This window comes from Homo sapiens, chromosome 11 (genome assembly GCF_000001405.40).
Source record: "Homo sapiens chromosome 11, GRCh38.p14 Primary Assembly".
NCBI lineage: Eukaryota > Metazoa > Chordata > Mammalia > Primates > Hominidae > Homo > Homo sapiens.
Window position 1 is genome coordinate 81,411,509 of NC_000011.10, and position 13,256 is coordinate 81,424,764.

A 13,256-nucleotide genomic window follows, 5' to 3' on the forward strand; every position below is an offset into this window, starting at 1 on the left:
GAACCATGAGATACTAAACAGGTGCTATTTTACGCTGCTAAGTCTTTGGTAATAGGAATAAAAAACTAACACATTTGTGTTGTATGAGATAGTGGACATGCCTATACCTTATTAACATCCTTGATTCTAGTGTAGACTTTGGATACATAGCCTGTCTTTCAGTCTGGCTGAAAATCTCATGGTGTCCTGAAGTGCCCTGCATGACCTTCTTTTGATTTTATCCATGGCCATTTTGATTATTTAATGAGAGTTGTGTGCAACATCATACATGCATATGCACCACTAATGTACACATTCACTCTGAGAGCTATTTTTTCACCATGATACCATATTGGACTAGTTTCTGTATATAGGAAACAGACTACACCATAGGCTGCACTAATCTTCTAAAGGTAATACTTGCTCCTTAGGAGAATTTTTTTAAGGAATAAAAGAACAACACTAAGGCACATAAATCTACTGAGAATGTGGATCATAGTAACTGATGTCAGCCAATCAATTATATAGTTCATATTCAATGTCATTAATCTCTTGGACATGACAAATCTTGGTAGCAGAAGGGAATAAGTTCCAGATAATACACTTTTGAAGTAATGAATAACCCTCCCTGTGCAGTACTTTAATGACTCTCTTTGTCAGATTTAAGATTTTATTATTAACATTAGAAAATGGAAGCCCAAAAAGATACAGTTGCAAATCAATTTCACTGTTCCTTCATAACGAGTCCCTAATTGACCTCAATTTCTGATATAGTTCCAAATTTCCTGGCATACTTAATTTTAATGATATGTACAGGAGAAATTAGTAACTGGGCATAAAGAAATTTATTAAACTATCTATTTTTATGTAGTTTAATAGATGAAATATAAATCATCACCACATTCATATGATGGTAAAGAGTGTATTTATGTCTTTTTACAGGTTAAAGGATGATCACTTTCTTAAATTAGTGTTTCACTTATCTCATTAAAAACACATGATAGGAATAACCTCAAATGCTAATATTCATTATATAAGGACCCATGATAGAAAATTTACATTCAATTGTTTTTAATGGCTAATAAAATTATGTTGCTGTTTTTTATCTTAAATGGACTCTGCTTGCCATTAAGAAAGTCCATTAAGAAAATATGAATTAAAAATATAATTGACTCTAAAATGGCCAGATCCCTGACATATTACATTTGACATACAAGAAAGCAAACATTTTTACCCCAAAGGATCACTGCATGTTAGCATATGTGTACTTACAATTAATATTTTTAATTATAATATTCTGACAATATTGAAAATTGAGTATTGTTAGAATGATGGAGTACTGCATGTCTGAGGACCATATCTGTGCTTTACTCTTTCTGAAATAGATCTGCTTTGTTCAAATTCATTTATAACTTAAGACTATAAATAAATCATGTTTATAGTTAGGATACAGCATCTTATTTTTTTTTTCTACAATGATTTAGTGGTAATCGGGCAGTCATTGCTGTCAGACAAACCTAAACTCTAAACTTTGCTAGCTGTCAAACTTGAAAAGATAACTTGAACTTTCTGTATATCAGTTTCCTCATCTGAAAATGATAAGATATTCTTACTTTGAAGAACTGTGAATACAATTTGAGATAATTTATGCAAACTGCATAGTACAATGCTTGGTACCTAGCACATAGATAAAATTCAATAAATATAGTTAATGTGATAATGAAGATGATGATGACAGTAGTGGTGATGACTATGATGATAACTACAATAAATTTTGTTTGCTTTCATTCCCATCTCTCTATTTTATTTCATTTGTTCGTTACACAATTTGAAAGTGGAAGCATTTCCCAAGCATGAATTTTATGTCAAGTATTATGTTAGGTGTTGGGCATATAATATCTAATAAAACATTATCTTTGCTAAGAAGAAATACTAGTAGCTTTCCATAAAAATATTACCAGATTTATATAAACCTATAATAAAATTTCCAAGCTCTGTTTTATATTTTACATTGTAATTACTATTTTGTCATTTCCACATTAAATATTTTATATCCTTAACTGAAATATCAACTCTTGATGACCAGGATCTTTCACATGTAATGGGTAATAGATAAACGGTTAACGATTAAGAAAGTAAGTGAATTGGTGTAATAAATAAATGACTTCAGATGGATAAAATGAAACTTTGTTCCCCTTATTCTCTTTACCATATTAAATACTCAAGCTTCAAAAACAATAACCCACTCAGTACTTTCAGAACTTTCTTTTTCACATCTTAGGCTACGTGTATACGAATTTCTGTGCTTAGAGATCTTTTCATTACTGATCTTTTTTTTTTATATTCCCCACCTATGCTCCCACCCCATTCCACCTCTGTATTAACTTCTACATCCTCTGTACATCAGAACATCTTATTCATTTGGTAAGTATTTCTCACCCTCTCTGTGCCAGGCACTGTAAAAGGAAAGCTGCCTACAGTAGTGAACAAAACAGACAGAATTTCATCCTGCACTGCGATCACCAACAGAATGTCAGAAGAGTTATCAGACAACAATTTACACAAATATTTAATGAAATACAGTTGCCCAGTGAGCTACAAAGTACAGGGTGCTCTAAAAGTGGATGGCTGGAGGACTTAACCTTGTCTGATATATTCGCCAAGTTTCCAGAGGGAGTGACTCTAAGGCCGAGATCCCAGGAAGTAGCAATGGGCACATTTTGTAGGGCTTTGGGCCACGGGAAGCCCCCTGAAAGGTTTCACATCACAAGTTACACATTGGTTTCCTAAGGGTTTTCTTGGGAAATTTGTTCCAATTTTCTGGTAAACTCCTTAATCCACGCCTTGGCCTTATGTTTCTTCAGATTTATATTGTCCCACACAATGACCAATGGGTAGCGGGTCATTGGATATCCAAGAAATGTTCATTTTATGAGGAAGCAGAAACGTCTGACCACACAACTCGCTAGTTGTCAAACTTTGCATGTAAATTTTCAGGAATGCAAAGGCCACAGTGGTTCTTTCCTCAGCAACTTCAAACTTAGCTATAAGTACCTAACTGGCAGTGGTGTGGATTGCCGTAAATAATGAAGGATTCTCTCCTACATTATCCTACCTCAAACTCAAAATATTAGTTGTTTTGTAACTAGATTTGTCCACTAGCAACAGCCAGAAGAAGAATTAAAAGAGGAATGATAATTGAACTTCTACTCTTATAGCAGGCACTTTGTTATCCCCTCTGCCAAGAAATATTGTCCAAAATGCAGAATTCGGGCAAAATAGAGTAAAATGTGCACTTTTTCATTGGATTCTGGTGTATTATTAAACCAATTTTATTTAATTCTCTAAGACAGGAGAGCCAAAACATTTTGGTCTCAGGACCCATTTATACTCTTAAAATGTTGACTATCCAAAAATGTTTGCATTTGGTGGGTTATATCTAGTAATTTTTACTACACTAGAATTCTAAACAGATAATTTTAAAAATATGTATTAATTGTAAAATAAAACCCATTTCATGCTAACATAAATTTTGTTTCTATAAGGGAAAGATATTTCCCAAACATATACAAATTAATGAAAGAGTAGGATTGACTTAAGATTTCTGCAAGTCTCATTAATATCTGGCTTAAGAGAAGATACCTGGATTCTCCTCTGTGTTTCTATTCTAAATCTGTTATTACGTCATACATCATGTAGCTTCTGGAAAACACTGTTCATGGATGAACCAAAGTGAAAAACTCAAATAATATGTTAGTATTATTAAGAAAATAGGGCCGGGCACGGTGGCTCATGCCTGTAATCCCAGCACTTTGGGAGGCTGAGGCAGGCAGGTCACGAGGCCAGGAGATCGAGACCATCCTGGCTAACAGGGTAAAACCCCATCTCTACTAAAAATACAAAAAATTATCTGGGCGTGGTGGTGGGTGCCTGTAGTCCCAGCTACTCGGGAGGCTGAGGCAGGAGAATGGCGTGAACCCAGGAGGCGGAGCTTGCAGTGAGCCAAGATGGCGCCACTGCACCACTCCAGCCTGGGCGACAGAGCTACACTCCGTCTCAAAAATAAAAAATAAATAAAAATAAAATCGTTTTTATCGTGTAGATCTTCTGAAAGGGTCTGAGGACTCCTAGGAGTCCCAGAACCACCTTTTGAGAAGCACAGATCTAGGATAATATATCTTCATCTTACTTTGCTATTTGATTGGAACCCGGATACTGTGTAGCTACATGTTAACTTGCAAATTTGTGGTGTCAAATAGAAACATCTCTCCTCCTAAAAAAAAAAAAAGGGTAACTCAAGTGTATTATACTTTTATTGTCCTGTATGATATTAACTAGTTTTGCATATAACCTGAAAATCTTATTGTAATATTAGTAATGATTGTTTATTAAGACAAAATTCTTGTAAATGCACAGCTCAACTGCTCTTGGTACTTTGGTACTAGTTTTATAGTCTTTCTGGTGTTCCTATTAATTATTTAATAAATTGGTGACACATGGTCATTCTATATTTGTATGGGAGTCTTGTATGAAAGTCTTTTATATGCTTTATTGAGGGTATAATTGACAAAAAATAGATATATTCAAAGTGTATGATGTGATGTTTTAATATACAGAAATACTGTGAAATGATTGCTACAATCAAGCTAACTGGCATACCTTTCACCTCACATAGTTAACTTTGTGTGTGTGTGATGAGAATATTTAAGATTTTGTCTCTTTGCGAATTTCAAGTATACATTATTAACTATAGTCACCATGCCATACATTAGTTCTCTAAAACTTAACTTGTCATATAACTGCAAGTTTGTATAAGTTGACCATCTCCCATTTTCCCTATCTCCAGCTCCTTCCAACCACCATTCTGCTCTCTGTGTCCATAAATTTTAGTTTCTTATATTTCGCATTGTAAGTGAGATCATGTAGTATACGTCCTTCTGTGTTTGGCTTGTTTCACTGAGCATAATGTCTTGTAAGTTCATTCACATTATCATAAATGACAGGACTTCCTTTTTAATGCTGAATAATATCCCTCTGTGTGTGTGTGTGTGTGTGTGTGTGTGTGTATGTGTGTTATAGCTCACATTTTCTTTATCCATTCATCTATGAACACTTAGGTTGTTTCCATATCTTGGCTATTATGATTAATGGTGCAATAAAACACAAGAGTGCAGCTATCTCTTCAACATACTGATTTTATTCACTCAAGATGTGTATCTAGAAGTAGGATTGCAGGAGAGCCCTGTTTTTAGCTATTTAAAAATTCTATTTTGGCCAGGTGTGGTGGTTCACAACTGTAATCCCAGAACTTAGGGAGACTGAAGCAGGTGGATTGCTTGAGCCCAGGAGTTTGAGACCAGCCTGGGCAACATGGTGAAACCCCATCTCTACAAAAGAATATGAGAATTAGCTGGGAGTGGTGGTATGCACCTGTAGTCCCAGCTGCTCTGGAGGCTGAGTTGGGAGGATGGCTTAAGCCCAGGAGGCAGAGGTTGCAGTGAGCTGAGATATGCCACTGCACTCCAGCCTCAGCAATAGAGCCAGAACTTTCTCAAATTAAAAGATGTATATATATAATTTATACATATAAAAATAATATATATTTTTAATATATAAAAATTACTTTAAAATAATTATATAAATAATATATTTACCTCAGCAACTCCCATCAATAACTTAGCATATTATTATTTTCATTTTATAGATAAGGAAATTAAGATTCTGAAAGTGTAAGTGACTTTTCTAAGATCAGAGAGCTCAGTGATGTTAGCCCTACATGATTTCTCTGGTCTTTTTCTGGTACCATCTTTCTAGCCTTTCCCTGTGCTGGACTCATGGAAATCTCCTAATTTGTATAACCTTTCCTATCTCACAGGCTGAAACACAGTGAGGAAAATACTGTAAACATTCTTTTCATACCAGTATCCCTAAAGGGGAGATCTTGTAGATACGTTTCACCAAGCATTCTATGATTTCAGCACAAATTGAGAAAAATCAATTTTGTGTTTTTGAGGGAGGTTCCCAGAATCAATCTTTTCCTTGTCATGAAACAGTTTATTGTGGTTTCTTAATATTAAACTATCTATTCTAGATGAAAAATGCAAAGACGAGATGACAAAGTATTAAACTAACACATTTAGAGATGCCTGAGGCTGAAATCTGGACTAAATAGATTTAGCAAACCTTGATGAAACATGAGAAAATCAAATGTAGAAGCAGTAGAGGTGGTAAAAAAAAAAAAAAAAAAAGGTCTAGGCATCTATTATCTTCCTTAGGGGCCTTAGGCCTGAATTAATACTGACTGTCATGAATTAAAGTTGGCAATGGACTAGAGACATAAAAAGTCTTTTTTATTTTATTTTATTTTTGCAGTATTGTTATTAGGGGAACTAGAAGAAATATAAATGTTCTTCTGCAGGAAAGAATCCTAAGAGAGCAAAGACCTGACACTTTAAAAATGATCGAGCCATTTTTGTGTAACTGCTTTCATATTTTATAGAAGCAAGTATGAAATGAAGTTTCTAAGTATTGGAAGGCACTTGTTCTTATCCTTTGTTGTGTGATGGAAGAAGACACTGTTATATACATAGGAGGGAACGGTTGAAAGGAGTCATTGGTGGGATTTTGTAGTGAAGAATAGTAACCTCTGTTTGGAGTTGGTTTCCAAATGTAGGACATTTCTACAAATACAAATTTTGGGACCTCACCCTGACTTACTAATCAGAGTCTCCTGAAAATAAGAATGGAACAAGTACTAAAATCAAAAGAAATGTAACCAGTCCATAGGAATAGCAAAGCAAATCAAAAGCAATCAGCCAACCAAACACAAACCAAGCTACTTATAACAGCAAACTTGCCAAGTCTGTATTAACTAGGTTCAGTCTCAAAGCAGCCTAAAACCCTGGTGTGGCACAATTCTGAGGCAGATTGCAGGACATGTTTTACTAAAGAGCAGTGCTTATAAATAAAAATAAATGACTCAATAAATTGAGGGATATTCAGAACTATTTCCTTAATAATGTCCAGAGCACCCTTTATCAGAAGAAAAAGGACTAGAGTTATGAAAAGAGGTGTGATAAATGCACATCTATTTGTAACTTGGCTCGTTATGCCATGCCTTATGCTGGTAAGCTCAGAAGACTGTTATGTAAGCAGCATACACCTTTGTTGTTGAGGATAAAGAAAATGTGAATGGTTACTATTGGGTTTCAGGAAATAGTAATTAAAAAAATAAGAAAGATAGAAAAAAAAAAACACAAGAGGAAAGAAAGAAAATCTCCCCCACCTCCCCGAACCTTAGAACTTTTAAAAAGTCTCTGATTTCTTCGGAGGCGGTGGAAAACTGGAAGAAGTGAGGGTAGAATCAGATCCTATATCTAACATTACCTGTGTGAGCTTGAGTAAGTTAGCCAAACTTTCAGAACTTCAATTTATTTAGTTACAAAATGGAGAAAATATGATTGCTATAGTTATTAAATGAGGTCATGTAATAAAGCATCTAAAATGGTGTCAATCATTCATAGGCATTCAAAATTGGGAGCTATTATTTGCTGCTATTTGCACAGTTCATACTCATATCAGATGTATTATAAAGGAATAACCTATTTTTATGCTGTTTAGGCATTTTCACTGAAATATACATATAGATAGGTAGACGGACAGACAGACAGTCTCACCAATCAACGTATAGCTCAGGAAGTGCCAGCAAGCAAACTGGTCAGATAGTAGGCACTGCCCTATTTAGGCACTCATGTTCACATGTAAACTTCCTCCTTTGAACTATATGTTTTTAGGTACACATTGTTTTTATTCTATGTCGTTGAACTATCTGTGTTGGAAATCATCAATATTCTAATTTTTACATTTTTGGTAATATTTTTAAATTCCCTTGGATCAAAATATTCTTCACACACAATTCATTTTGTAGCCATAGGTAAATATTTAAAAGTTTAACTAATTAATTTTGACTTCATCCTTTCAGTTGCTGCTCTAGTGTACATTAAATATTCTATGATCCTTTATATTGTATGTTGTAGACACAATGATAAATTTGAACTCTGCAGCTAAAAGTTATTTGAAGGTGAAGTTTTACCCTCTTTATGTGCCAATCTAAATGAGAAGACTAACCAGTCAACTGTTAGAAGGAGGACCATTTCAGAGGAAAAACCCCAGGTTAACCCTAGCTCCAATTCCAGTTATACCGCTTTTTGGTTGTGTGACCTTAGACTAATGATTTGTTCACTGAGTTCCCAATTCTATACCTATAAAATGAACCTGGCTATATCTACAGTTCAAGTTTTCTGTGAAAAGTAATAAAATAATGACTGTAGAACTCAAAAACATGATAGATTACTCAAATTATAATTTCATCTCTCTTTTAAAAATATTTAGAAAATACTATTACCATAATGCTTAGTATGTATTGAGTATTTACTGTGTCAGGCATCTGGGTAATCACTTTGCAAAGTACTCTTAGGTATTTAGAATGTCAAAATGTTAAGGGCATGAGGACCCAGACACAAATCATGTCTGGTTTTACATTAAGCACACAGGCACTGGAACCAGACTGCTTGGATTTGTATCCCAGATCTGCCCCTTAAAAGCCTAGAGCCTTTGAACAAGTTATGTAACCTCTGTGATACGAATTCCTCACATATCAATTGAAAATTATAAATTGCCTCTCTCATAGTATTGCTGAAAGCATTTAATAAATTAATGCATAAAAAGTGTTAAGAACATGTACCCTAAATCTTAAAGTATCATAAAAAATAAAATAAAATAAAATTTAAAAAAAGAATATTGCCTAACACATATGCAGTATTCAACAGTTCTGGCTATTAGAGTCATTAGCTATTGTTATTTTCTAACAAAGACAATAGTCAAAACATCTAATGACTCTCTTTAGATGATTTTCAAAGTGCTGGAGTCTCTTATTCTGAGCAACACCAAAGGTTACAGCCTCCATATTGTCAGATTGAAATTGTATGAAAAGCTCAATAAAGTAGCTAACAGCTCTAAAGTCAGGGATCTCAGATTCAGCATTTCTAGATCCAATTTCAAATCATGGCATTTTATGTATTTTTAAGCACCTGGTCACACCTAACTCACTGAGGTAAACTCCTTAGAGGACAAGGGCTGTAGTTTTTACTTGTCTTGCAAAGTGCTACAAAATCTTGATTGTTGGCAAGAGCTCATTCTCTAGAAATTGATGGGGTGGCTGAGGTAAGACTTTAAGTAATTTAGATGGAGCATTTTAAAATCCATTTAAAAGCTATTTAGGGAAGTATGAGTCTGAAGTCAAAGTTGAAGCTGAAAAGTCCTATGAGGCCTGCAGGGGGAGAGCCACAATTGATAAAGGCCATTATCTTAAATAAGTTCAGAACATCGTGAGCCTGACTGAGTATTTTAATCCTTGTCTGGCAGGATTAAAAGGCACACAGCACAAGACAAAGGGCCCAAGGCTCATAGGGCTTCAGAAGGAGAGAGCAGCTTTAAAACTCCTCTGCCAAGAAGTCTCTCCATGCACAGCAATTCTCTCCTTCCCCTTTTCTCACCCTTCCTACCCTCCCCTCTCCAGTCCTGATCCCATACTTATCCACTACCCTGCATTGTTCTAGCCTGGCAAAGGTTTGGCCTGTCAAGATTCAATGAGAATATTGTCTGCTCTATAAAGCCTTCCAGACTTTTTCCTAGCTCTCACCATTGCTTCGCAATTGTGGCTGTACATTAAAATCATCTGCGACAATTTCACATATGTAGAATTTAGCCCCCAATATTTGGATTTAATTGGCCTAGAGTGGGACACTGGCGATGGATCTTTTTTTTTTTTTTTTTTTTTTGAAGGTTTCTAGTTGGTTCTGATATGCAGGTAGTCAGGCACCACTTAGGAATGATTACTATCTCCTTTGCAGCCTAGCTTTTCTTTGTAATACTGCTGGGCTGATGAGTCTCTGCCCTTTGTTTTGCAAAACAACTACACTATGAGCACTCTGAGTTCAGAGGCCTCTCTCCTTTTTCTCTGCTCTGTATCTGACCTAAATTTCATGCTTAATAAAAAGAATTCCTTGAAAATGGGAATTAAGGCCGGGCGCGGTGGCTCAATCCCATAATCTCAGCATTTTGGGAGGCCGAGGTGGGCGGATCACCAGGTCAGGAGTTCCAGACCATCCTGGCTAACACAGTGGAACCCCGTCTCTACTAAAAATACAAAGAATTAGCCCAGCGTGGTAGCGGGCGCCTGTGGTCCCAGCTACTCCGGAGGCTGAGGCAGGAGAATCCCTTCAACCCGGGAGGCGGAGCTTGCAGTGAGCGGAGATCGCGCCACTGCACTCCAGCCTGAGCGACAGAACGGGACTCAGTCTCAAAAAAAAAAAAAAGAAAGAAAATTGGAATTAATTTATTCAGTTAATCTTCAGTTACTTTTTCATTACTTATATTTTTAATTCTTACATTCTAGCATCTATTGATTGATTAATCCTTTCAGCCGTTAATTTACTGATGCATATATTCACCAATAATATACATCATATATTACGCAAATGATGCATGAATGACTACATAAATAGTTATTTATATTAATTAAAGTCAGATGGCACATTTAAGAAAAGGTACTAATAAGTAGACATAAAGGAGGACTTATCACAACAGTTTATGATTTATACACACCGACAGAAGTACACACATATACTGAAATGTACATAGCCTATATGCATGCACATATATGCATTGACATATTTCAAGATACAGCTTACTGGTTAAAAACACAGACACTTGAAAGCAGACTGCCTGAGTTGGTCCCCAGCTCCACCAGGTACCGCCTATTCCACTTACTTATCTGTGTTTCAGTTTCTTAAATTATAAAGTGAGGATAATAATAATAGTTACCTCATGGGAATATTGTAAAGATGAAATGTATTGATTTATATAAAGCAAGAGTAAGCACTATACAAATGTTAGCCATCATCATCATCATTATTATTATTAACAGTTTCTCCTTGCTATTTTGTACATCCTTATACAATACTTCAGGACTAGCTAAGTCAGGCTGGGACAGATTGACTGCTCTCACATCTATTACATCACCAACATGTCAGAATCACAGAGAGAGTTCTAAATGATGGGCCTGCCATTTTTCCACAGTGAATTGCTTGAATATTTCTGTGGAATACCTGCTGGCATGAAAAAATAAAAAGGTAAAAGAAAAATGTGTCTTGTCAACCTGAAATCCTCCAACCATTTGAAATAATTGCTATGAATTAATATGTTGTCTTCTCCAAATAGCAGTTAACATCTGTGCTTCAGACAGATGTTCACCATTTCTAATATAACTCTTCCCCAATTATCCACATATGTTTTATTCTATTTGTGTATTCTATATAGCAAATTTCCACACAAGTGTGAGATTTTTTTTTTCCCTGGTACTACTTCACAGTCAGGGAATCTACATAAAACTTATTGTTATTTAACAGAAAAACAGCAACAAAAAAAAATACTAAGAGAAAATAAGCATTACATATTATAGCATGTGTTATGTAACCTTTTATATAATATAAAGTATACATATTACATCTGAGTGGATACAAATCTTATGGGGATCATTAAGAAATAAATAATTTATATATAATGTATTTACACAATAGGAACTCTTTCTTTTGCTTAATGGTCTGTTTTGACTCTCAAGAGCTGTTATTTCATGAAGCCCTCTTGACAATTAGTCGAAGACTCATTCCTCAAACATCAGGAAAATTTTCAAATTTGATACTAACTTTCATTATACAGTCTTGAAATTGTCTGTTAGATCTTATGTCAGTAGCAGAATGTCAACAAATCTCAGTAAATAAATATCTTTCTTCTTTCTTAGTATAATCCTAATCTTCACTGGAAAGTGTTCACACATACTATAAAAATTTTGCTTACTTATATTCTGCCTCTGGGTTGATGACATAATCATTTAGGAAAGAATATGATGCAACAAAATATGAGAATCCGTTATTTCTTAATTTTGTACCTTAATTGATAGAAAATTCCTCCGCTAAATTATCTTGATGCACTACTTTGTGACCCAAGGTTAGGAAAATTATTTCTGTTAGATACAATGTTTTCATCATTAAAATATGATTATATCTCAAAGAATAGTCTCCAGTTTTCTGTTCCTGTGTCAACAGGACAATCCTGGGTTCAATATAATGCCTGGAATGTGGTAGTTACTGAATAAAGATTTGCTAAAGAAACTGAAAATAAATCCTATAGGGAGAAAAAAAAAAAAAGACTCCTCACACTGCTTGCTTTCAAAGGCTTTAGTCAGGATCAGTGACAAGTTAATGATTTTAGAGAAACCGTTAAGTTCTTTGCCAATGTAATTGGCATTTCCACCACCAATGCATCACACCAACTCTACCACCACCACTACCAATACTGTTGACGCTATAAGATGTTTCTCTATGATTATCAGTGTAAAGACTTCATCATCAAATTGAATTTGGGCTAAATGATGTTTGGCAATACTCATACATAACTAGCAAATAATAGTGAGCATATTTTTAAAGATGGTGTTCATTAGCTAACCATCCATTCATTCAACACTATTGAATGCTTGCCACATTCTAAATTCTGTGCCAGGAATAGGGAAATAAGAGAGTATAAAGATGATTTAAACACAGTCCTTCTTACTAAAATGTTTCACAATCTAGTTTGGGAAAATAAACATGTCTATAAATTGAGATACTGTGGGACACATTATAAATGCAATAAAAAATATGTGGGTACTCAGAGGAGGTAGAAAATTCTTCTAATGAATAAAAATAGGAAGGAGTTCATGAAAGTTTAGTATGTGATCTAGATCACAACTTAGGAAATACATATTTGTAAATCCAACATATTGAAAAACATTGATTGTATGTCTTATTTGATGCCAGATATTATATTTAGCACTGAAAATTCTCATGTAAAATAATTATTGCATTCATGGAATTTAACATGCAAGGAAAGGCAGGAAATTAAATAGTATAGAAGTTATTACAGTGACACAAATATATCCGTTTACATCATGGAAAACCTGACCCTGCCATAGAGTTTTTAGAGAGTGATTTTCAGAAGAAATAACAGTTAAACTTAATTTTGAAGGAAAGAAAATTAATTAATGGGGTAAAATCTTTGTGAGAAGAGAAATATGGTAAAAGGACAGATGTTCTAGACTGAGACAAAGTCCAAGTAGGTCAGCATGGTGGGGTGGCATAAAAGAGCCTTTACTCATCCAATCACATACAAACAACACCTAA

General features: G+C 34.8%; 2 annotated features.

The window, feature by feature from the left end:
- Nucleotides 8,993-9,806: an enhancer, noted in NCBI's record as "OCT4-NANOG-H3K27ac hESC enhancer chr11:81131543-81132356 (GRCh37/hg19 assembly coordinates)". NCBI's record gives its function as "activates a minimal SCP1, AML or CMV promoter by ChIP-STARR-seq in naive and primed H9 embryonic stem cells {active_cell/tissue: H9 hESC(naive and primed)}" and the evidence as "EXISTENCE:reporter gene assay evidence [ECO:0000049][PMID:30033119]".
- Nucleotides 9,807-10,618: an enhancer, noted in NCBI's record as "OCT4-NANOG-H3K27ac hESC enhancer chr11:81132357-81133168 (GRCh37/hg19 assembly coordinates)". NCBI's record gives its function as "activates a minimal SCP1, AML or CMV promoter by ChIP-STARR-seq in primed H9 embryonic stem cells {active_cell/tissue: H9 hESC(primed)}" and the evidence as "EXISTENCE:reporter gene assay evidence [ECO:0000049][PMID:30033119]".